The sequence below is a fragment of the Homo sapiens genome, chromosome 17, assembly GCF_000001405.40.
Source record: "Homo sapiens chromosome 17, GRCh38.p14 Primary Assembly".
Lineage (NCBI taxonomy): Eukaryota > Metazoa > Chordata > Mammalia > Primates > Hominidae > Homo > Homo sapiens.
The window spans coordinates 40138793-40164228 of NC_000017.11; the positions used below are offsets into that span (position 1 = coordinate 40138793).

Sequence of the window (25436 nt, forward strand, 5' to 3'; positions counted from 1 at the left end):
CTTGAATTTTCCTTTCATCTCTGAAGGCATTCATAATTACTTCCAGTTTCATGTTATCTATAAATTTGATAAACATCAGGATCCTTAACCATGTCATTTATAAAAATTTTACTCAGGAAAGGCCGGGCGCGGTGGCTCACGCCTGTAATCCCAGCACTTTGGGAGGCCAAGAACGGCGGATCACGAGGTCAGGAGATCGAGACCATCCTGGCTAACACGGTGAAACCTCATCTCTACTAAAAACATAAAAAGTTAGTCGGGCCTGGCGGCAGACACCTGTAGTCCCAGCTACTCGGGAGGCTGAGGCAGGAGAATGGCGTGAACCCGGGAGACGGAGCTTTCAGTGGGCCGAGATCACCCCACTGCACCCCAGCCTGGGCGACAGACAGAGTGAGACTCCCTCTCAAAAAAAAAAAAAATATTTTACTCAGGGAAGAATTCTATGCCATGGTGGCCTTTGTTTGATAACATACATTATTAACGTGCACTCCTGTAGGTGCACTAAAAACTTAGCTCATGCACTTTGTATATCCTTATAATGGTCCAAAGAAAACACACTGATTCTTTTCAATGGTGGCCAATGCCTTGCCAAAATGAAATAATTTCCATAAACCTTAAGAAGGAAATAATGTCAGGATTTTGAATCAACATCTGTTTCTACTGACCATTTATTTTTAAATAGGTTCTAAAATCCTGACAAGGGCAGTAGCTCATGCCTGTAGTCCCAGCACTTTGGGAGGCTGAGACGAAAGGATCGCTTGATCCCAGCCAGGAGACAAGCCTGGGCAAGAGCGAGACCCCATCTCTACAAAAAACAGAAAAATTAGCCGGGTGTGGTAGTGTGTGCCCGTTGTCCCAACTACTAAGGAAGCTAAGGCAAGGAGGTCACCTGTGCCTGGGAGGTCAAGGCTGCAGTGAGCCGCGCTACTGCACTCCAGCCTGGGCAACAGAGTGAGACCCTGCCTCGAAAAAGCCAAAACAAAACCGGTAATACTGGCATCATACCAGCCTGCACTTTGGGACAGGTGATGGCTGGGGTGGGAAGAAACGTGAAGAGGAAATGAGAACACAGAGAAAACGCTGCAACAAGAAGTCCTCTGGCTTCACTGCAGACAACTGGTTTCTCCTTCGCCCGTTATCTTAAACAAGGCTGGTGCAGCAAATCTGACGCAGCACTACAGCTTTTAAGATTTACCTTGATTCGTGATTTTACCAAGCAAAGGAATGCAGTAAATTGACCTGCTTCAAACGTAGGTAGAAGTGAGAAATGGAAACAGAAAACCATGAAACAGCCCTAGTGTTGCAGTGAAGCTGTGACAGGTTGACTCCTTCCACTCGGGAAGCCCAAGATGGCCGGGCCAGGAACCCGGGAGGCTGCTGAAGTCTCAATTCCCCTCGCCCTAGGCCTGCCCAAGGGAAGTCAGGAGCCGCGCCACGCCCCCTTACATCACCGATAGACGTAATCCGGGTCGGCCGCAAACGTGCCGCAGGCCTAGGCCCCGCCCAGTGCCCCGCCCCTCCCCCAACACACACACACACACACACACACACACACACCCCAACACACACACACACACCCCAACACACACACACACACACACACACACACACACACACACACACACACACACACACACAGCGGGATGGCCGAGCGCCGCACGCGTAGCACGCCGGGACTAGCTATCCAGCCTCCCAGCAGCCTCTGCGACGGGCGCGGTGCGTAAGTACCTCGCCGGTGGTGGCCGTTCTCCGTAAGATGGCGGACCGGCGGCGGCAGCGCGCTTCGCAAGACACCGAGGACGAGGAATCTGGTGCTTCGGGCTCCGACAGCGGCGGCTCCCCGTTGCGGGGAGGCGGGAGCTGCAGCGGTAGCGCCGGAGGCGGCGGCAGCGGCTCTCTGCCTTCACAGCGCGGAGGCCGAACCGGGGCCCTTCATCTGCGGCGGGTGGAGAGCGGGGGCGCCAAGAGTGCTGAGGAGTCGGAGTGTGTGAGTGCGCGCAGGCGGGGCGGGGTGGGGACCGGGCGGCGAGCCGGCCGGGGGCGGGGTGTAGGTGATGCTAGGTAGTCTGTGAGTTGATAGTAGATACTGGGACTTTTTTTTGTTTTTGAGAGAAAAGGGGAGTTATCCCAATGCGAGTTTGCATCCGGAGTTCCAAGGGAAGAAGAAGGATTGGGGGTTTCTGGGAGGATGGTAGAGCCGCTGGAGATGGAAAGCGGATGTTTTATTCAGAAGTCGGGGCTGGAGGGAAGGAGACCAGACCTGCCTTGGCTACTACTTGATAAAGATTTACCTATCTCTGTCTCCCTCTCCAACCATTTTGTGCTGAATCTTCAGCTTTTCACCCACATTTCTTTATTGGGCTCCCCACCTCTGGAAATCACAGAACTAACCCATGTCTTCTGCTTTCTTTCAGGAGAGTGAAGATGGCATTGAAGGTGATGGTGAGTAGCATCTTTTACCCCATTAGGACAAGAGTTTTTTTTAACATAAACTCAGGTCATCTATTTCCAACATCGACATTCTCACACACTGTCACGGATTTAGGGCCACAGAGTGCCTTTTTGTAACATAGTGGTTAAGAGCATAGGCTTTAGCAGTATAGTCTTCAGCAAGTTACCCTCTGAGCCTGTTTCTCCTTTTGTAAGTGGGGACTATAATTTTATCCACGTTGTAGGTTGATGTCAGAATTAAATGAGACTCTTAGTCTGACCTGTAATAAGCAGCCAAAAAATGTTTCTGGGTTTCTTTTTTTCCACATATTTCTGTTTTATTTCAGCTGTTCTCTCGGATTATGAAAGTGCAGAAGACTCGGAAGTGAGTATGACAGGTTTTTTCCTATGGTATAGATCAGAAATGCTTTTTAAAAACGTGTACACACCTTCGTTGCAAACGTACCATGACCTCCGTGTTTATCCTCTTGTGTATTCTTCATTTATGCTTCTGAAAAAGTGTTACAGAAGGTCTTGTTCACTTTAGACCTAGGGAAAACTTGGGGCACGCCGTCTCAAGCCACAGGTGTTATACTGTTAGTTGGCTTCTCTTCCTGTCTGAAGAATATGAGGTTCTAAATAAGAGAGTGAGGATATCTTGAAGTCCTCTGAAAGATGTTTGACAGTTTGTTTTATGCAGTGTAGGTTGAGAAGCCAGCCAATTGGTTATTTTTTTCCAAATCTATCTGAAGACTTTGAAAGGGTAGGATTCGGAATGTTTTGTGCCAAGAGCATCCATCATTTTATAGGTGGGGATTTTTCTGTTTTTAGGAGAAAGTTTCCTGTCTTTTGGATAAACTACTAGAGATGCCATCAGAGTAAGTGTTTGTTTCCTGGGTTGTTGAGTGGACTCCTGAGTTCTGGTAATGGGATTATATATAGGGGGAATTGGATGGTGGATCAAAGATTTTGTCTATACATTTTTAGAACTGTTACTACATTTTAGAATCTGTTAAGCCCTTGAGGATGGAATAGTGAACACTATAACAAAATTCCTATCTTTAGAGATCTTACAACTCAATAAGGAAGTCAGACAAACATTCAAGCAATTGTACCACTTGCTGATAGGGGATAGCACTGGGATAGGGCTAAGTAGGGTGTTACAGCTGGGTACTGAATCCATCTTAGGCAGTCGGGAAAGATTAAACAGTTGGCTGGGTAAGATGTGTTCTAGGCAGAGAGAACAACAGTCAAGAAAGCCCACAGGGGCCGGGAGCAGTGGCTCACGCCTGTAATCCCAGCACTTTGGAAGGCTGAGGCAGACGGATCACTTGAGGCCAGGAGTTTGAGACCAACGTGGCCAAAATGGTGAAACTCCATCTCTGGCCCGGCGCGGTGGCTCACGCCTATAATCCCAGCACTTTGTGAGGCCCAGGCGGGCGGATCACGAGGTCAGGAGATCGAAACCGTCCTGGCTAACATGGTGAAACCCCGTCCCTACTAAAAATACAAAAAAAAATAATAATAAATTAGCTGGGCGTGGTGGCGGGCGCCTGTAGTCCCAGCTACTCGGGAGGCTGAGGCAGGAAAATGGTGTGAATCCGGGAGGCGGAGCTTGCAGTGAGCTGAGATTGTGCCACTGCACTCCAGCCTGGGTGACAGAGCAAGACTCCGTCTCAAAAAAAAAAACCCATCTCTACTAAAAAATACAAAAATTAGCTTGGTGTGGTGATGCATGCCTGTAATCGCAGCTACTTGGGAGGCTGAGACACGAAAATCGTTTGATCCCAGGAGATGGAGGTGGCAGTGAGCTGAAATCATGCCACTGCACTGCTACCTGGGTGACAGAGTGAGACTCTGTCTCAAAAAAAAAAAAATAAATAAATAAAAGAAAGGCTGTAGGGGTACAAAAAGAATAGTAATTAGAATGAATAAGATCTAAACCCAGCGCGATGGCTCACACCTGTAATCCCAGCACTGTGGGAGGCCAAGGTGGGCCAGTCACTTGAGGCTAGGAGGTCAAGACCAGCCTGGCCAACATGGCAAAACTCCATCTCTACTAAAAATACAAAAATTAGCAGCTCATGGTCCCGCATGCCTGTAATTCCAGCTACTCAAGTGGCTGAGGCAGGAGAATCCCTTGAGCCTGGGAGGTGGAGGTGGCAGTGAGCCATAATCACACCACTGTACTCCAGCCTGGGCAACAGAGCAAGACTCTTGTCTCAGAAAATTTAAAAAATAAAAATGACTAAGATCTAGAATTTCATATTTGCAACATGGTGACTACAGTCAACCAGTAACTTATTGTACATTTAAAAATAACTATTGGCTGGGCACAGTGGCTCATGCCTGTAATCCCAGCACTTCGGGAGGCTGAGGTGGGTGGATAACAAGGTCAAGAGATTGAGACCATCCTGGCCAACATGGTGAAATCTCGTCTCTACTAAAAATACAAAAATTAGCTGGGCGTGCTTGCACGCCCCTGTAGTCCCAGCTACTCAGGAGGCTGAGGCAGGAGAATCGCTTGAATCCGGGAGGCAGAGGTTGCAGTGAGCCGAAATCAAGCCACTGCACTCCAGCCTGGTGACAGGGCAAGACTCCATCTCAAAAAAAAAGTATATATATATATTAATAAAAGAACGTAATTGAATTGTTTGTAACAAAGGATAAATGCTTGAGGCGATCCATACCCCATTTACCCTTACATGATTATTACACATTGTATATCTATATAAAAATATCTCATGGGCCGGGCTTGGTGGCTCACACCTGTAATCCCAGCACTTTGGGAGGCCGAGGCGGGTGAATCACCTGCGGTCAGGAGTTCGAGACTAGCCTGGCCAACATGGCGAAACCCATTTTCAGTCTCTACTGAAAATAAGAAAAATTAAGTAGGCGTGGTGGCAGGTGCCTGTAATCCCAGCGACTCAGGAGGCTGAGGCAGGAGAATCACTTGAACCCAGGAGGTGGAGGTTGCAGTGAGCCAAGATTGTGCCATTGCACTTCATCCTGGGCAACAAGAGGGAAACTCTGTCTCAAAAAACAAAAACAAAAACAAAACTCATGTACTACATAAATATATACCTACTGTGTACTCAACAAAAATTAAAAACTTTCTTTTTCTTTTTTTTTTTTTGCTTGAGATGGAGTCTTGCTCTGTAACCCAGGCAAGAGTGCAGTGGCATGATCTTAGCTCGCTGCAACCTCCACCTCCCGGGTTCAAGCGATTCTCCTGTCTCAGCTTCCCAAGTAGCTGGGATTACAGGTGCACACCACCACACCCAGCTAATTTTTGTATTTGTAGTAGAGACGGGGTTTTACCATGTTGGCCAGGCTGGTCATGAACTCGTGAACTCAGGTGATCCGTCCGCCTCAGCTTCCCAAAGTACCGGGATTACAGGTGGATTACGGGTGTGAGCCACTGTGCCCAGCCCTCTTTTTTTTTTTTTTTTTTTTTTAAAAAAGAGGCAGGGTCTCACTCTGTTGCCCAGTCACCCAGGCTGGAGTGCAGTTGTGGGGTCACAGCTCACTGCAACCTCAAACTGCTGGGTTCAACCAGTCCTCCTGCCTTGACCTCCTGAAGTGCTGAGATTACAAGCATGAGCCACCATACCCAGCCAAAAAAAAAAAAAAATTAAGTTTTTTTTTTTTTTATTGAGATGGAGTATTGCTCTGTTACCCAGGCTGGAGTGCAATGGCTCGATCTCAGCTCACTGCAACCTCTGCCTCCTGGGTTCAAGCGATTCTCCTGCCTCAGCCTCCCGAGTAGCTGGGATTATAGGCGCATGCCACCACGCCCGCCTAATTTTTGTGTTTTTAGTAGAGATGGGGTTTCACCATGTTGGTCAAGCTGGTCTCGAACTCCTGACCTCAGGTGACCCACCCACCTCGGCCTCCCAAGGTGCTGGGATTACAGGCATGAGCCACCGTGCCCCCCATTTTTTTTGTTTTGTTTTGTTTTGTTTTTTAAGACGGAGTCTCATTCCGTTGCCAGGCTGGAGTGCGGTGGTGCAATCTCGGCTCACTGCAGCCTCCGCCCCGCCTGGTTCAAGTGATTTCTCCTGCCTCAGCCTCCCGAGTAGCTGGGACTACAGGTGTGCACCACCACGCTCAGCTAATTTTTGTATTTTTAGTAGAGACGGGGTTCCACCATGTTGGCCAGGATGGTCTCCATCTCTTGACGTCGTGATCCACCCACCTCGGCCTCCCAAAGTGCTGGGATTACAGGCGTGAGCTACTGCGCCTGGCCCAAAATTTTTTTAAAAAGAGAAAAAGCCCAGATAGAGAAGATAGAGAGCGTTTGGGAACTTGGGAGTAATTAGGTGTGACTGGAGCATTGTTGGGACAGGATAGGTATTAGAAATAAAGACAAATTGGTGAGCAGGGGCCACTAATTGGTGAGGTGGGAGGATTGCTTGAGCCTGGGAAGTGAAGGTTGCAGTGAATCAAGATTGTATCACTGTACTCCAGCCTGGGCAACAGAGCAAGACCCTGTGTCAAAAAAAAAAAGTGATGCGATTGGATTTATTTATTCATTTTTTAAAAATTTTTATTTACTGTTTTTTGTTTGTTTGTTTTTTTAATTTTTAGTAGAGATGGGGTTTCACCATGTTGGCAAGGCTGGTCTCGAACTCCTGACCTCAAGTGATCTGCCGGTCTTGGTTTTTCAAAGTGCTGGGATTACAAGCATGAGCCACTATGCTTTGTCTGATTTAAATTTTAAAGATGTGTTTTTCAGATCCAGAGAACACTTGCATCAGAAAATCCAATTAGCCATTCTCTACTGAAACAGACTCTTGGGAGGGGCATTGGAGACTCAGACATTTATGTATTAAAGAATATCCCAGGTTGATGCTATGTACTGTAAAATTTGAGGATTCTTTTATAGCAGTTATTTTGTCCACAGTGAAGAGAAACAAGATCAGAGACAGAAAAGCTAGTTAAGAAAGCTATTGTAGGAATCTAGTTAAGTAGTGAGTGTGGCATGGAATAGAGTGGTGATAGTGAAAATAGAAGTGGACAGAATTCAGAGTTAGAAGTGGTTTTGGGATGGGGAATATTTGCTGCAGTACAGATGCTTTTTGATTTATGGTGTAGTTACATCCCATCCTGGTAAACCCATCATAAGTTCAGAAGTTCAAGATAACTTCTTGGCTAACTTGGAGCAGCAACTCTCTGTTGCTATCCAGCATCTCGAGAAGTACGATTTCTTTTTTTTTTTTTTTTTCTTTTTTTAAGACAGAGTCTCACTCTGTCTCACTCTGTCTGCAGTGGCGTGATCTCAGCTCACTGCAACCTCTGCCTCCCGGGTTCAAGCGATTCTCGTGCCTCAGCCTCCCAAGTAGCTGGGATTACAGGCGCACGCCACCATGCCTGGCTGATTTTTTTTGTATTTTTAGTAGAGACGGGGTTTCATCATGTTGGACAGGCTGGTCTTGAACTCTTGACCTGGTGATCCGCCTGCCTCGGCCTCCCAAAGTGCTGGGATTACAGGCATGAGCCACAGTGCCTGGCCTCTTTTTTATTTTTTTAAAAATATTTTTAATAGAGATGAGGTCACTCTGTGTTGCCCAGGCTGATCTTGAACTGGACTCAAGGGATCCTCCCACCTTGGCCTCCCAAAGTGCTGGGATTACATGTGTGGTGAGCCACTGCACCCAGCTGAGAAGTACAGTTTCTACTGAATGTTTATGGCTTTCATACCACCATAAAGTCAAAATTATAAGTTGAACCATCATACATCAGGGACCGTCTGTAGTCACTAGAGAATGGAAACGTTGGAGAAACTGACAGGCAATATGGAGTGTTCATTGAGTTTTGGGGATTGTGAATTTATAGCAGCTTACCATTCTATATGTAAGGGAGTTTGGATGTTTTCCTAATGGCTAGGAAAGAAGTACCACTGAAGGCTTAAATGTGGGGGATGAATTGTGGGTGAGGCACAAAGGAAGACTAGAGGCAGAAGAGCTGTTTAGAGGTTGTTAGGATAGTCCAAGGAGCATGACGATGGTGCCCCTAAAGAAGGTTCATACTTGTTGGAATGGCAAGATGTGGGACAGATTAGAGAGAGATTCTAGTGTACTAACAACCCCTTCATTGATTGAATGTGGAACCTAAATTAAGGAGTCAAAGGAGGCCAGGTACCTTGGCTCATGCCTGTAATCACAGCATTTTGGGAGGCTGAGGCAGGTGGATTGCTTGAGCCCAGGAGCCTGAGACCCACCTGGGCAACATGGAAAAATCCTGTCTCTACAAAAGAAAAGTAGAAAAAAAAATTATCCGGTCTTGGTGGCGCAGGCCTGTGGTCCCAGCTACTGAGGAGGTTCAGGCAGGAGGATCATCTAAGCCCAGGGAGGTCAAAGCAGTAGAGCTGTGATCACTCCACAGCACTCCAGCCTGGACAACAAAGTGAGACCCTGACTCAGAAAAAGAAAAAGGAGTCAAAGGAATGTGCAGGTTGATGAATGGTGTTGAATGGTGTTAACTGTTAAGGAAGGGACCCCAGGAGAAGAGTTCTGGAAGGACAGTTGTGGGTTAGGTTTTGGATGTTTTGAGATCGAGAAGGTGTGGGACTTTTAGGTGGTGATACCTGGTAAATAGTTTTTGATTCCTAATTGCTCATACCTTTCTGAGTTCTCATTTCATTTTTGAGTTTTTCCAATTCTGATTGATGTTCTTTCATGCCTTATATAATTTTCTTAATGTCTTTTTAGCTTATTTTGAAATAGAAGTTGCAATTTTGATATGATATGCGGATGTCTTTCTGGCATGCTTTCATTGTCTGTAGGAATGCTATTATTTTTTCTTATTATAACTTTATGGGATTTAACTTCTGTATTTTCTGTTCATTTTTATGTAAAATTAGTTTTCCTGGTCTTTTCGAAGGAAGCATGATTTAGAATAGCTTTTTCTAACTTCACAGAGCTGCTTCTGTTGTTTTTCTGTGGTGGTGAGAAATATGGTGGCTTGCTTTCTGAGATTTGTTGCTTTTGTTCCCTTTCCCAGCTTGTTCTGGACCATCCCTGTCCTACTGAATTTGGTCCTGCTCTCAACAGTTTCTCTTCTAGGAACTCCCTTCTAGGGACAGTGTAGGGCCCTGTCCCCAGAAGGAAGCCCTGGCAGCCAGGTCAGCTTCATCCCTTCAGACCTTTTTTTTTTTTAAGACAGAGTCTCACTCTGTCGCCCAGACTGGAGTGCAGTGGCGCAATCTCAGCTAACTGCAATCTCCGTCTCCTGGGTTCAAGCGATTCTCCTGCCTTAGCCTCCTGAGTAGCTGGGACCTCGTGTGTCACCGTGCCCAGCTAATTTTTGTATTTTTAGTAGAGATGAGGTTTCACCATGTTTTCCAGGCTGGTCTCGAACTCCTGACTCAGATGATCCACCCACCTTGGCCTCCCAAAGTGATGGGATTACAGGCATGAGCCACCGTGTGTGGCCCCCTTGCTAGTTGTAAGTGCTGTTCTCAGTTTTGACTGTTGTGCTTTCCCTTGACTGCCTGTTGATTATTTCAGTGTTCTCCTGTTCTCAGGTCCATTTGCTTTCTCTCTGCTTTCTCCTGCGTGGACACCAGTACTATACAGGTCCTACAGCTGTTGGTGCTTTGTTATGCACTTACATTTTGGGTCTTGGGGGATACCTGGTAACTTAACTTTGTTGCAGTGTTGTCTGAAGGTTTTGGTTTCTTTTTTATTTTTTGAGACAGAGTCTTGCTGTCGCCCAGGCTGGAGTGCAGTGGCTTTGCCTTCCAGATTCAAGCTATTCTTGTGCCTCAGCCTCCTGCGTAGCTGGGATTACAGGTGCGTGCCACCATGCCTGGCTAATTTTTGCATTTTTAGTAGAGACGCGGTTTTACCATGTTGGCCAGGCTGGTCTCGAACTCCTGGTCTCAGGTGATCCACCCACCTCGGCTTCCCAAAGTGTTGGGATTATGGACGTGAGCCACTGTGTCTGGCCAGGGTTTTGGTTTGGGTCTCGGTTTTGCTGTCCAGAGCTCTCATTCCATGTGGAGATTTGAAGAGAGATAAAACTGTGCCACTGCCATTTTCTGAGAGTCTTCCAAGAATTCTTTTTTTTTTTTTTTTGGCAAATGGGTCTCCTTATTTTGCCCAAGCTGAGCTTGAACTTGAACTTACAATCCTCATCAGCCTCTTGAATAGCTGAGACAATAGGTTCATGCCACTGTGCCTGGCCAAAAAAACTTGTTAAAGAAATTTGACTGAGGGAAGGCTGAAGAGATGGTAGTTGGAGAGGTAGCTTTGAGATCAAGAGGTGATTTGGATGTTTTTTAAAAAGTTAGGAGAGTATCAAATAAGGTCAAAGATTGAAAAAAAGAAAAGAAAGGGGGAAAAAAGAGAGGGAATAGATAATGATATTGAGTACTGGTATTTTTGACTGAGTATATGAGAAAAAGTAGGAACCAGACAAGATTAACATCTTCCATTGTAATTACAGAGAAGTGGGAAGGAAAGGTATGTGCAAAGGAAGATTAGAAAGGAGGGAAAAGCTGGGTGCGGTGGCTCACGCCTGTAATCCCGGCACTTTGGGAGGCCGAGGCGGGCAGATCACGAGGTCAGGAGATCGAGACCATCCTGGCTAACATGGTGAAACCCCGTCTCTACTAAAAATACAAAAAATTAGCCGGGCATGGTGGCGGGCACTTGAGCCTGGGCGACAGAGCGAGACTCCGTCTCAAAAAAAAGGGAAAAAAAAGAGGGAATAGATAATAATATTAAGTACTGGTATTCTTGACTAAGTACATGAGAAGATGTAGGAACCAGATGAGAAGTATCTTCCATTGTAATTACAAAGAAGTGGGAAGGAAAGGAAGTTAGCGTTCCTTTCTGTGTTTTGTTTTTGTGAAATAGAAGGATAGAGCAGGACAGGCACGGTGGCTCACACCTGTAATCCAAGCACTTTGGGAGGCCAAGGCAGGAGGATTGCTTGAGCCCAGGAATTTGAGACCAATCTGGGCAACAAAGTGAGACCCTCTCTCTACAAAAAATCAACCTGGCGCAGTGATGTGTGCTTATGTCCCAGCTACTTGGGAGCTTGGAGTGGGAGGATCCCTTGAGCCCAGGAGGTCGAGGCCACAGCAAGCTATGATTGCACCACTGCACTCCACCCTGGGTAACAGTGTGAGACTCTCGAAAAAAACAAAAGAATGACATCTGCTTCAAAAAGTAAGAGTGTGTGCGTGTGTGTGTGTGTGTGTGTGTGTGTGTGTAACCCCCTTTGGCAATGGAGTAGTCTGTTGTAGGCCTGGAGAAAGCAGACATTTGAATTGATCCAGTTCCAGGCATATGGGAGTGGCAAGAGAAATGGGATGTTACTAGTAGTGATTGAAATGAATGAGCTATGGAGTCTAGAGAGAGAAGAAAGTGAATGTGAGAAAGGACTGATAGGCAGAAGTTAGAAGCATCAAGGGAATGGATGCATTGAAAAATTAGAGACGAGACAGTAAGGAAACAACTAGGAATAAGAGGCATTTTTTTAAAAAACTGCTTTATTGTGGCAAGGCGCCGAGGCTCATGCCTTTATCCCAGCACTTTGGGAGGCTAAGGCAGGCAGATCACGAGGTCAGGAGATCGAGATCATCCTGGCTAACACGGTGAAACCCCGTCTCTACTAAAAATACAAAAAACTTAGCCAGATGTGGTGGCGGGCACCTGTAGTCCCAGCCACTCGGGAGGCTGAGGCAGGAGAATGGTGTGAACCCGGGAGGTGGAGCTTGCAGTGAGCCGAGATCACGCCACTGCACTCCAGCCTGGGCGACAGAGTGAGACTCCCTCTCAAAAAAGAAAAAAAGAAAAAAAACTGCTTTATTGAGATACAATTCACAGAACGTACAGTTCATTTATTTATAAAGTGCATAATTTAGCCAGGTGCGTGCCTGTACTCAGCTACTCAGGAGGCTGAGGCAGGAGGAATGGTCGGCCCAGGAGTTCGAGACCAGCCTGGGCAACATAGTGAGACCTCATCTCTTTTTATTTGTTTGTGTGTTTGTTTTTGAGACAGAGTCTTGCTCTGTCACCCAGTCTGGAGTGCAGTGGCACAATCTTGGTTCACTGCAACTTGACCCTCTGGGGTTCAAGTGATTCTCGTTCGTCAGCCTCCCGGATAGCTGAGGTTACAGGTATGTGCCATATGCCTGCCTAATTTTTAGTATTTTTAGTAGAGATGGAATTTTGTCATTTTGGCCAGGCTGGTCTCAAACTCCCAGTCTCAAGTGATCTACCCACCTCAGCTTCCCAAAGTGCTGGGATTACAGGCGTAAGTCACCACGCCTGGCCCGTAAGACCTTATCTCTATAAAAAATAAAAAATTTAGCCAGGCGTGGTGGCGTGCACCTGTAGTCCCAGCTACTTGGCAAGCTGAGGCAGGAGAATTGTTTGAGCCCAGGAGGTCAAGGCTGCAGGGAGCTGTGATCATACCACTGCACTCCAGCTTGAGTAACAGAGTGAGACCTTCATCTCAAAAAAAAAAAAAAAAAAAAGGAAGGAAGAAACCCAGTTCTCCCATCCTTCCCGTAGCCTCAAGCAACCGCAAATCTACTTTCTGTCTCTGTTGATTTTCCTATTCTGGCCTTTCATATGAATGGAATTATGTAATATGTAGATTTATGTGTCTGGCCTCTTTCAGTATAATGTTTTCATCTGACTTGTAGCATGTATCAGTACTTCATTCCTTCTTTCTGCCTCCCCACCCCAGCTTTATTGAGGTATAACTCACAAATAAAAATTGTATACATTTAACACATACAGTGTGGCATCTTGATATATGTGTACATTGTGGAGTACCACAGTTAAGCTAATTAACGTATCTATCACCTCACCTAGTTAACCTTTTTGTATGTGTGTGATGAGAACACCGAAGAGCTACTCTCAGCACATTTCAAGTTTACAATATGTTATTTATTTTTATTTTACATGGTTTAAAAAGAGACAGAACCTTTGTCACCCAAGCTGGAGTTCAGTGATGCAGTTATAGCTCACTGCAACCTCAAACTCCTGGGCTTAAGCAATCCTCCCACCTCAGCCTCCTCAATAGCTGGGACTACAGGCGTGCACTACCATGCCCAGCTAATTTATTTATTTGTTTTTATTTTTATTTTTTTTTTGAGACGGAGTTTCACTCTTGTTGCCCAGGCTGGAGTGCAGTGGCATGATCTCAGCTCACTGCAGCCTCTGCCTCCTGGGTTCAAGCGGTTCTCCTGCCTAAGCCTCCCAAGTAGCTGAGATTACAGTCATGCGCCACCAAGCCCAGCTAGTTTTGTATTTTTAGTAGAGGTGGAGTTTCTCCATGTTGGTCAGGCTGGTCTCGAGCTCCCGACCTCAGGTGATCCACCCACTCAGCCTCTCAAAGTGCTGGGATTACAGGCGTGAGCCACCATGCCCAGCCGCCCAGCTAATTTTTAAACAAATTTTTTGTAGAGGCAAAGAATCGCTGTATTGCCCAGGCTGGTCTTGAACTCAGCTTCAAGCAATCCTCCAGCCTCAGCTTCCCAAAGTATTAGGATTACAGGCATGAGCCACCATGCCTGACCAAGTATACAGTACGCTATTATTATTATTATTTTAGACAGTCTTGCTCTGTAGCCCAGGCTGGAGTGCAGTGTTACAATCTCGGCTCACTGCAGTCTCTGCCTCCCAGGTTCAAGCAATTCTTCTGCCTCAGCCTCCTGAGTAGTTGGGATTACAAGCGCCCACCACCACGCCCGGCTAATTTTTTTATTTTTAGTAGAGACAGGGTTTCACCATGTTGCCCAGGCTGGTCTCGAACTCCTGACCTCATGATCTGCCCACCTCGGCCTCCCAAAGTGCTGGGATTACAGGTGTGAGCCACCACGCCCAACCAGTAAGTTATTATTAACTATGGTTACCATGCTGTACATTAGGTCTCCAGAACTTATAACTGAAGTTTTATATCCTTTTACCACGATCTCATTTTCGCTACCCTTAAGCCCTAGAAACCCCCTTCCTACTCTCTGTTTCTATGAGTTTGACTTGAGATCATGTGGTGGTTATCTTTCTGTGTCTAGCTTATTTTACTTAGCATAGTTCCGTCTAGGTTCATCCATTTGTTGTCACAAATGTCAAAATTTTTTTTTTAGGGCAGAATTAGATTCCATTGTTCGTGTGTTCCACATTTTCTTTATCCATTCACCCAACAACAGACACGAGTTATTTCCATAGCTTATTTCCATCTTTTGGTTATTATGAATAATTCTGCTACAAACATTAGTGTACATGTTTTTATGGGGACATATGTTTTCACTTCTTTTTGACTATGTACCTAGGAATGGAATTGCTGAGTCATGTGGTAACTCTGTAATCATTTGAGGAACTAGAACCGCCATACTGTTTCCAAGGTGCTGCACCATTTTACGTGACTAGCAGCAGTGTATGAGGGTTCCAGTTTCTCTATATCCTTAACAGCACTTGTTGTGTTATTTACCCAGGTGCATGCCTGTACTCTCAGCTACTCAGGAGGCTGTGGCAGTAGGATTTCTTGGGCCCAGGAGTTCGAGACCAGCTTGGGCAACATAGACCTGTCTAAAACTTTTTTTTTTTGGCGGGGCACGGTGGCTCACGCCTATAATCCCAGCACTTTGGGAGGCCGAGTCAGACGGATCACTTGAGATCAGGAGTTCCAGACCAGCCTTGCTAACATGGCGAAACCTCGTCTCTGCTAAAAATGCAAAAATTAGCCAGCCACTGTGGCACGCGCCTGTAATCCCAGCTATTCAGGTGGCTGAGGCATAAGAATCACTTGAACCCGGGAGGTAGAGGTTGCAGTGAGCCGATTTGATTCTAGATGTCCTATTAGGTATGAGATGTTTTCTCATTCTGATTTGCATTTCCCTGATGACTAATGATGCTGAGCGTTTTTTTTTTTTTTTTTTTTTGGTGCTTATTGGCCATTTGTGTATCTTCCTTGAAGAAATGACTATTCAGATACCTAGGCAATTTTTTAAAAATTAATTTTTAATTATTGTTTTTATTTTTTTTAGAGACAAGGTCTTGCTGTATTATCCAGAGTGGTCTCAAACTCCTGGGCTCAAGCAAGCAGTCTTCCCACCTCAGCCTCCTCAGTAGTTGAGACTATAGGCATCAGCCACCACACTTGATCTTTGCCCAAAGTAGCTGGGATTACAGGTGTGCGCTGCCATGCCCGGCTAATTTTTGTATTTTTAGTAGAGACGAGGTTTTGCCATGTTGGCCAGGCTGGTCTTGAACTCCTGACCTCAGGTGATCTGCCCACCTCAGCCTCCCAAAGTGCTGGGATTACAGGTGTGAGCCACTGCGCTTGGCCATTTTTTTTTTTTTAATTGAGATGTAAGAGTTCTCTATATATTCTGTATTCTAGATGTAAGTCCCTTATCAGATATGATTTGCAAATATGTGTTCCCTTTCTGTGGATTGTTCACTTTCTTTATAGTGTTCTTTCAAGGACAAAGGTTTTAGTTTTGATGAAGCCTGGTTTATGTTTTTCCTTTTGTTGCAGATGCTTTTGGTGTTAGGTATCTAAGAGTCATTTGCCAAACTGAGAGTCATGAGTATTTACTCCTGTGTTTTCTTCTAAGAGTTTTATAGTTTCAACTCTTAAATTTAGGTCTTTGATTCATTTTGAGTTAGTTTTTATATGTGGGGTAAAGTAAGGGTCTAACTTCATTCTTTTTGTTTTTTGAGATGGAGTCTCGCTCTTTCACCCAGGCTGGAGTGCAGTGGCGCTATCTAGGTTCACTGCAAGCTCTGCCTCCCGGGTTCATGCCATTCTCCTGCCTCAGCCTCCCGAGTAGCTGGGACTACAGGCACCCGCCACCACGCCCAGCTGATTTTTTGTATTTTTAGTAGAGATGGGGTTTCACCGTGTTAGCCAGGATGATCTCGATCTCCTGACCTCGTGATCTACCCATCTTGGCCTCCCAAAATGCTGGGATTACAGGCATGAGCCACTGCGCCTGGCCAACTTCATTCTTTTGCACGTGACGATTTTGGTCCATGACTCGGGTGTTTATACGTAAGGTTTTATTTTGTTTTGTTTTGTTTTTTTGAGATGGAGTCTCATTCTGTCACCCAGCCTGGAGTGCAGTGTCGCTATCTTGGCTCACTGCAACCTCTGTCTCCTGGGTTCAGGCGATTCTCCTGCCTCAGCCTCCCGGGTGGCTAGGATTACAGGCATGAGCCACCACGCTCAGCTAATTATATTTAAGGTTTTAAAAGTGGAGCAGTTTTACTTATAATAAAGCATAGCAGTTCTAGGTAAGACTGGTTTGGAGTGCAGCCATGGAAATGGATGGCTGAAGTGCAGGTGAAGACTGACCTCAGTGCTAAAGTCTTCCTGTCAACGACAGGCCCGTGGCCTCGGAGGAGCCGGGGTTTATTAAAATGAGGCTAGAGGAGTTAGATCTGAAAGAGACATTGAGAATAAGGATACCAACTCCATCTCTTAGTCTGAAATATGTGGGAAGTAGAAGAATGAGCTAAAACTTCTGTATTAGAATTTTTCAAAGGAACAGTTCCTTCAGGGTGGAGCTAGTAAGAATTGGAAAGAGTACACTGAAATGGTGGGTGATGTAGGGGAGTTTGTCTCTTCTGGAAAAAGGTTTTGATGACATCCCTTTGCCAAAGCAGTGTGACCGTGTGGTAGCACCTTGGCTTCAGTTAGACTAAGCTTTGACTAATTTGGAGCCTCCTCAGTACTATGCTATTTGTATCTGTTCTGCCCTGGAAACAAAATTAGTTTTTCACTTAAAATAAAGTTGCCTTATTTGACATCCTACCACAGATCAGAGGGTGGAGCATAAAACAAGCTTTCCTTATTAATCATGTGATAATACTATTTAAAGGTATTTGAATTAAATCAGTACGTGTGTGTAGGGAGATGGAGAATTAAAGTCACATACACCAAGTTATTGTAATTTCTGCTTGAAAATCTTCAGGGAACATAGGATCAAGGAAAGAACTGAATGATTGCCACCTACCCATCCTAGTCTTGAGGAGGAAAAACTTCATGTAATTAAGGGAAATGGGAAGAATCAATGGTGCTCAGTTGTTAAAAAGCTATAGGTAAAGGCTTGATTCTGATAGTGTGGGTATAGTCAAACAGTCTCCCTCTATTCTGTTACCTTTCTGAGAGTCCTAACCCAAAACACTCAAGGCCAAAATAGTTAACCTTTGAACGGCCAGGCGCGGTGGCTCATGCCTATAATCCCAGCATTTTGGGAGGCCGAGACAGGCGGATCATGAGGTCAGGAGATCGAGACCATCCTGGCTAACACGATGAAACCCCGTCTCTACTGAAAATACAAAAAATAATTAGCCGGGCATGGTGGCGGGCGCCTGTAGTCCCACCTACTTGGGAGGCTGAGGCAGGAGAATGGCATGAACCCGGGAGGCGGAGCTTGCAGTGAGCCGAGATCCAGCCACTGCACTCCAGCTGGGGCGACAGAGTGAGACTCCGTTTCAATAAAAAAAAATTAAAAAAATAAAATAGTTGACCTTTGGACAACATGGGAGTTAAGAGTGCCTATCCTGTCTGGGTACAGTCACTCATGCTTCTAATCTGAGCACTTTAGTGGGCCAAGGCAGGAGGATCACTTGAGTCCAAGAGTTTGAGACTAGCCTGGACAAGAAAGCAAGACCCTGTCTCTACAAAAAAAAGGACAAAAATTAGCTGGGCATGATGGCACGTGCCTGCAGTCCCAGCTACTCAGGAGGCTGAGGCAGGAGGATCACTCGAGCCCGGGAGTTTGAGGCTGCAGCAAGCCATGATCACACCACTACACTCTACCCTGAGTGATACAGTGAGACCCCATCTGTTAAAAAAATAAAAGGGGGTTGGCCGGGCGCGGTGGCTCACGCCTGTAATCCCAGCACTTTGGGAGGCCGAGGCGGGTGGATCACGAGGTCAGGAGATCGAGACCATCCTGGCTAACATGGTGAAACCCCGTCTCTACTAAAAATACAAAAAATTAGCCAGGTTTGGTGGCGGGTGCGTGTAGTCCCAGCTACTCGGGAGGCTGAGGCAGGAGAATGGCGTGAACCTGGGAGGCAGAGTTTGCAGTGAGCTGAGATTGCACCACTACATTCCAGCCTGGACAACAGCGAGACTCCGTCTCAAATAAATAAATAAATAAATAAATAAATTAATTAATTAATTAATTAAAAGGGGCTGGGCGTGGTGCCTCATGCCTGTAATCCCAGCACCTCAGGAGGCCGAGGTGGGCGGCTTGCCTGAGCTCAGGACTTTGAGACCAGCCTGGGCAACATGGTGAAACCTTATCTCTACTAAAAGTACGAAAATAGCTGGGAGTGGTGGCATACGCCTGTAGTCCCTGCTACTCAGGAGGCTGAGGCATAAGAATTGCTTGAACCCAGGAGGTGGAGGTTGCAGTGAGCTGAGATCGCGCCATTGCACTCCAGCCTGGGCGACAGAGCAAGACTCTGTCTCCAAAATAAATAAATAATAAATAAAATATAAAGGACACCTATCCCTGTTGCAGTAAGAATTCCAAGTATAACTTTTGACTCACCCAAAACTTAACTACTAAGTCAACTGGAAGCCATACCAATAACATAAACAGTCAGTGAATATGTATTTTATATTTTATGTGTATTATGTACTGTACTCTTACAATGAAGCTAGAGAAAAGAAAATGTTATTAAGAAATCATTCACTATTAAGGAAACATACTATTCAGTGGAAGTGGATCATCATAAAGGTCTTCATCATCTTTGCATTGAGTAGACTTCAGAAGAGGAGGGGTTGATCTTGCTGCCTTGGGTGACAGAGGCAGTGGAAGGAGAGGCAGGCATACTTGCTGCAACTTCTATTGAAAAAAAATTTGCGTAGAAGTGGACCTGAGTAGTTCAAACCCCTTGTTCCAGCGTCAACTATACCCAGATGCTGAGCAGGGAAAAATGAGGAAGAGGGATTAATTGGCTTGTCTGGGCCAATCAGGCTGACTCAGCTCTATTTGAAGAGATGGCAGAAACTTAGAGTTTGAGAGTTTCTCAATCAGGAATTCAGGAATCTCATGTTGAGCCTCTTTGACCAGATTATTGGGGCCAGCCTGGGTCTTGAGTGACAGGGCAGTCTGGTTCAGTTCAAGTATCAGACCCAGTAGGTGAGTGAGAGACCAGTGTACATACATCTACCAGGTTTCAGATGTAACCCACCAATGAAGACTAGACCACCTTTCCTTGAACCCATTTCTCTGTGTTCTCGTAGGCCTCCCTAGCCATAGCTCTGCCTCCTTAGGTCCAAATCTGGGGAGGACAAGGAGAGGAGAGTAACCCTATTCTAAAGCCAGTTCCCTTATCATGAGCCTTAGCTGCTGCCTTTTCCTACCTAGAACTAGCCACACGTCCATTTCCTGGCCCTTTCTAATGGCCTAATGATCCTTTGTGTGTAGACCCAGCACTTTCTGTGTCATGAACAGTGTTACCCAATCTTGATGTGGTAAAAGAGGGAAGAAGATAGTAAAAAGAGAGAGAGAGCACTTGGACTAATTTTTTTCATTTCTGAAATGTGATGGTTGTACAAGTTGTCCTTTAAGGTTTTTTAGGTCAAATTTTTGTAATTATGTGATTCTGGATATGTTCTGGCTGCAGGAATTTTCTGCTGCAGAAAACCAGTACTCATAGGCATTAAAAAAAGCTACCATTTTCCAGCTTGAGGATAAGTGCATTGGGAAATCATGGAGTCATTATCAAGAGTTTGCACATCTGGTTGGGCGCAGTGGCTCATGCCTGTAATCCTAGCACTTTGGGAGGCTGAGGCAGGAGGTTCGCTTGAGCTCAGAAGTTTCAGACCAGCCTGGGTAATGTGGTGAAACTCTGTCTCTACAAAAAATACAAAAATTAGTTGGGCATAGTGGTGTACATCTGTAGTCCCAGCTACTTGTGGGGGCTGAGGTGGGAGGATTACTTGAGCCCAGGAAGTCAAGGCTATAGTCAGTTGAGATCACACCACTGCACTCCAGCCTGGGCGACAGAGTGAGACCCTGTCTCAAAAAAGAGTTGCATGTCTACTCATTCAGTTCTCATTATCTATAGACTAAAATATACATCTCCCCCCTTATGTACTACTATTTTTGAATATATGTAAATTAATAAAATGTAAACTTAAAGTGTTATTGAATGTATAACAGTTTGTTGTTTTTTGTTTGTTTTTGAGACAGTCTCTGTTGTCCAGGTTGGAGTGCAGTGGTGCGATCTCGGTTCACTGCAACCTCTGCCTCCCAGGTTAAAGTGATTCTCCCGCCTCAGCCTCCTGAGTAGCTGGGACTACAGGCACGCACGCATCAGTTCATTGTGTGTTTTTTTTTTTTTTTTTTTGAGACAGGATCTCTCTCTGTTGCTAAGACTGGAGCGCAGTGGCACAATTATGGCTCACTGCAACCTCTACCTCCTGGGCTGAAATGATCTCACACCTCAGCCTCCCAAGTTGCTGGGACTATAGGCGCACACCACCATTCCTGGCGAATTTTTTTTTTTTTTTTTTTTTTTTTGACAGGGTCTCACTCTTTTGCCCAGACTAGTATCAGTGGTGCAATCTTGGCTCACTGCAACCTCCACCTCCTGGGTTTAAGCAATTCTCTTGCCTCAGCCTCCCAAATAGCTGGGATTACAAATTCATGCCACCATGTCTGGCTGATTTTTGTATTTTTAGTAGAGACAGGGTTTCACCATGTTGGCCAGGCTGGTCTCAAACTCCGGACCTCAAGTGATCCACCTACCTCGGCCTCCCAGAGTGTTGGGATTACAGGCGTGAACCACTACATCCAGCCTAGCAGTTGTTTGTCATTGTATGTTTTCTCAGTGAATATCTCATGGGGATCCATGAAAATTTTTAGATCCTAAAAAGGGGTCCGCATAATCAAAAAGGTTGGGAATTTCTGCTCTAAGCCATTTTGAGATGGGAGAGTTCACAACTTACGTCAAAGTATAGTTATTAGGCACTGCATGTTTAAGAGACAATTCATGGGCCAGGTACAGTGTTCATGCCTGTAATCCCAGCCCTTTGGGAGGCCAAGGGAGGAGGATTGCTTGAGCTCAGCAGTTTGAGAACTGCCTAGGCAACATAGCGAGACCTCGTCTCTACTAAAAATAAAAAAAAATCAGCCAGGTGTGGTGGCATGTGCCTGTAGTCGCAGCTACTTGGGAGGCTGAGGTGGGAGGATCACTTGAGCCCAGGAGATTGAGATTGCAGTAAGCCATGATTGTGCCACTGCACTCCTGGGCAACAGAGCAAGACCCTGTCTCAAAACAGAAAAAAAAAAAAAGATAATTCATGGAGAGAGAGATTATCAAGGAAGATTAAGCTCCTCTTATATGTTAGGTATCGTATAGTAAGTCTCCCTTCCATTCTTATCCTCTGGGCCCATTAGAGGCTGCCGCTGTTTTTTTGTTTTTTTGTTTTGCTTTTTCGAGATGGAGTTTTGCTTTTGTCACCCAGGCTGGAGTGCAGTGGCACAAACTTGGCTCACTGCAACCTCCGCCTCCCGGCTAATTTTTGTATTTTTAGTAGAGACAGAGTTTCACCATGTTGGCCAGGCTGGTCTCGAACTCCTGACCTCAAGTGATACGCCTGCCTCGGCCTCCCAAAGTGCTGGGATTACAGGTGTAAGCCACTGCGCCCAGCCTGCCACTTTTAATAATTCTTGCATATGTTCCAGGAATACCTATGTGGATATATATGTATGTATGTGTGTATTTTTTTTAATGTGATATTTTTAAAATAGTGTCTTTTTTTTATTATTACTATTTTTTGCGACAGAGCCTTGCTCTGTCGCCCAGGCTGAAGTGCAGTGGCGCAGTCTCTGCTCACTGCAAGCTCTGCCTCCCTGGTTCAAACGATTTTCCTGCCTCAGCCTCCCGAGCAGCTGGGATTACAGGTGCCTACCACCAAGTGCGGCTAATTCTTATATTTCTAGTAGAGATGGGGTTTTGCCATGCTGGCCAGGTTGGTCTCACACTCCTGACCGCAGGTGATCTGCCTGCATTGGCCTCCCAAAATGTGATTACAGGCGTGAGCCACTGTGCCAGGCCAAAATAGGATCTTTATTTTCTAGAAATATGGGTAAGAATATTGATTTGTTTGCTTTTCAGTTCTATGTTGTACTAAAAATTTATTGATAAATGTATTCCTAAAGAGTAGAAAATTGAAATGCAGCCAGGCACGGTGGCTCACGCCTATAAACCCAGCACTTTGGGCGGCCAAGGCAGGCAGATCACGAAATCAGGAGTTCAAGACCAGCCTGGCCAACATGGTGAAACCTGGTCTCTACTAAACATACAAAAATTAGCCAGGCGCGGTAGTGGGCGCCTATAATCCCAGCTATTTAGGAGGCTGAGGCAGGAGAATTGCTTGACCCCTGGAGGCAGAGGTTACAGTGAGCTGAGATTGTGCCACTGTATTCCAGCCTGGGTGACAGAGACTTTGTTTTGGGGTTGGGGGCAGGGGTGGGAATTAAAATGCACCGTTCAGATCTTATATGCATCGCTGACAGGGAAACTTTTTTCAGGGTGAAGAAGGTGAATACAGTGAAGAGGAAAACTCCAAAGTGGAGCTGAAATCAGAAGCTAATGATGCTGTTAATTCTTCAACAAAAGAAGAGAAGGGAGAAGAAAAGCCTGACACCAAAAGCACTGTGACTGGAGAGAGGCAAAGTGGGGACGGACAGGTTAGTACATTCCACAGTCCTCCATTTTAGAGGCTGGAATAGAGATTCTTGAGGCTTGGAAGAGTAAGGATCCCTTTATCTGTCCTCTAGGAGAGCACAGAGCCTGTGGAGAACAAAGTGGGTAAAAAGGGCCCTAAGCATTTGGATGATGATGAAGATCGGAAGAATCCAGCATACATACCTCGGAAAGGGCTCTTCTTTGAGCATGATCTTCGAGGGCAAACTCAGGAGGAGGAAGTCAGGTAAAAGCCACTTGCTGCTGCTGCTGTCTAACATGTATTTTACACATGTAGGCCAGGTACTTCGATTTGCCTGTATTTCATTTATTACAGCATTTTAAGATAAGTATTATGATTATCCTTATCGTACAAATGAGGAAAGTAGGCTTAGAATATTTGGTAACTCTTGGTGAGGCAGCTAAGATACAGACCTAGGACAGTTTGTTTCCAGAACTCATCTTCTCTTAATTATTATACTTTTGCTTTTCTTAGTCTGAGGTGTAAGGCGTCTGAGAAGTGAAATACTTGCATAGGTTGCCTTTTAGGAGAAAGGAGATGTTTCAAAGGTACTGAATGGCATGAAATGAAGTCTTTTTCTCATTTCTGTGTCTGTTATATTTGAGCCCAGCAGGCCCTGAGGTTCTGTGATTCACGCTTGCTTTGGGGAGGCCTGTTTTTTATAATCTCTTTGGGATGATGAGGAGACTACGTAAAGTTCCTATTGTCCCCCTGCCTCCCTGACCCATTTTGTTCAAGAACATCTCTACTTGGAGAATTCTGCTGACCCAAGACACTTTTCCTTCATTTTATCCAGACCCAAGGGGCGTCAGCGAAAGCTATGGAAGGATGAGGGTCGCTGGGAGCATGACAAGTTCCGGGAAGATGAGCAGGCCCCAAAGTCCCGACAGGAGCTCATTGCTCTTTATGGTTATGACATTCGCTCAGCTCATAATCCTGATGACATCAAACCTCGAAGAATCCGGAAACCCCGGTGAGGACATTTTAGAACATAAGACCAGGCTGGGTATGGTGGCTTACGGTGGCTTACACCTGGAATCCCGGCACTTTGGGAGGCTGAGGCAGGAGGATTGCTTGAGGCCAGGAGTTCAAGACCAGCCTGGGGAACATAGTGAGACCCTGTCTCCAAAAAAAAAAAGAAAAAAAGGAAAAAAAAAATAGAGTGTAGACTCTTGATATCTTTTAGAAAGAATTCTCTTTGCTTTTCTTTTTATTTATTTATTTAAGACAGAGTCTCGCTGTGTTGCCTAGGCTGGAGTGCAATGGCATGTTCTCGGCTCACTGCAACCTCCACCTCTTGGGTTGAAGTGATTCTCCTGCTTCAGCCTCCTGAGTAGCCAGGATTACAGGCGCGTACTATCGCGATCGGCTAATTTTTGTATTTTTAGTAGAAATGAGGTTTCGCTATGTTGGCCAGGCTGGTCTTGAACTCCTGGCCTCAAGTGATCTGCCCGTCTCGATCTCCCAAAGTGCTGGGATTACAGGCCTGAGCCACCGCGCGTAGCCTCCTTTTGTTAATTTCCTAACAGTTTCTTCATTCCATTTTTTGTAGATATGGGAGTCCTCCACAAAGAGATCCAAACTGGAACGGTGAGCGGCTAAACAAGTCTCATCGCCACCAGGGTCTTGGGGGCACCCTACCACCAAGGACATTTATTAACAGGAATGCTGCAGGTACCGGCCGTATGTCTGCACCCAGGAATTATTCTCGATCTGGGGGCTTCAAGGAAGGTCGTGCTGGTTTTAGGCCTGTGGAAGCTGGTGGGCAGCATGGTGGCCGGTCTGGTGAGACTGTTAAGCATGAGATTAGTTACCGGTCACGGCGCCTAGAGCAGACTTCTGTGAGGGATCCATCTCCAGAAGCAGATGCTCCAGTGCTTGGCAGTCCTGAGAAGGAAGAGGCAGCCTCAGAGCCACCAGCTGCTGCTCCTGATGCTGCACCACCACCCCCTGATAGGCCCATTGAGAAGAAATCCTATTCCCGGGCAAGAAGAACTCGAACCAAAGTTGGAGATGCAGTCAAGCTTGCAGAGGAGGTGCCCCCTCCTCCTGAAGGACTGATTCCAGCACCTCCAGTCCCAGAAACCACCCCAACTCCACCTACTAAGACTGGGACCTGGGAAGCTCCGGTGGATTCTAGTACAAGTGGACTTGAGCAAGATGTGGCACAACTAAATATAGCAGAACAGAATTGGAGTCCGGGGCAGCCTTCTTTCCTGCAACCACGGGAACTTCGAGGTAGGTATCATAGGATTGGTGGCTAGCTTTTTCCCCTTTGCATCATCAGGTTTAGGGGCATG

At 45.8% G+C, this 25436-nt stretch overlaps 1 protein-coding gene and 1 non-coding gene across 5 annotated transcripts in view, besides 2 other annotated features; both read left to right on the plus strand.

Annotated features, from left to right (window-relative positions):
- Positions 1356-2296: an enhancer, noted in NCBI's record as "NANOG-H3K27ac-H3K4me1 hESC enhancer chr17:38296401-38297341 (GRCh37/hg19 assembly coordinates)". NCBI's record gives its function as "activates a minimal SCP1, AML or CMV promoter by ChIP-STARR-seq in primed H9 embryonic stem cells {active_cell/tissue: H9 hESC(primed)}" and the evidence as "EXISTENCE:reporter gene assay evidence [ECO:0000049][PMID:30033119]".
- Positions 1745-25436, plus strand: part of CASC3 (CASC3 exon junction complex subunit) — a 31635-nt gene continuing 7943 nt past the window's right edge. For 3 of the 4 annotated variants that reach the window (NM_007359.5, XM_005257163.3, XM_047435623.1), the window contains exons 1-7: positions 1745-1987; positions 2415-2442; positions 2778-2815; positions 22961-23119; positions 23210-23361; positions 23933-24109; positions 24689-25374. In NM_007359.5, the coding sequence (NP_031385.2) occupies positions 1757-1987; positions 2415-2442; positions 2778-2815; positions 22961-23119; positions 23210-23361; positions 23933-24109; positions 24689-25374 (1471 nt within the window). In that variant the 5' untranslated portion in view covers positions 1745-1756. Of the gene's footprint in view, positions 1988-2414; positions 2443-2777; positions 2816-3261; positions 3309-22960; positions 23120-23209; positions 23362-23932; positions 24110-24688; positions 25375-25436 lie in introns of all 4 variants that reach the window. The other variant, XM_047435624.1, reaches the window with a different exon arrangement.
- Positions 1762-2061: an enhancer, noted in NCBI's record as "active region_12131". NCBI's record gives its function as "activates an Ori minimal core promoter by ATAC-STARR-seq in GM12878 lymphoblastoid cells {active_cell/tissue: GM12878}" and the evidence as "EXISTENCE:reporter gene assay evidence [ECO:0000049][PMID:35858748]".
- MIR6866 (microRNA 6866) lies at positions 23141-23209 on the plus strand. The gene has a single exon (NR_106926.1). It is a non-coding gene; the product is annotated as a microRNA 6866 (primary transcript).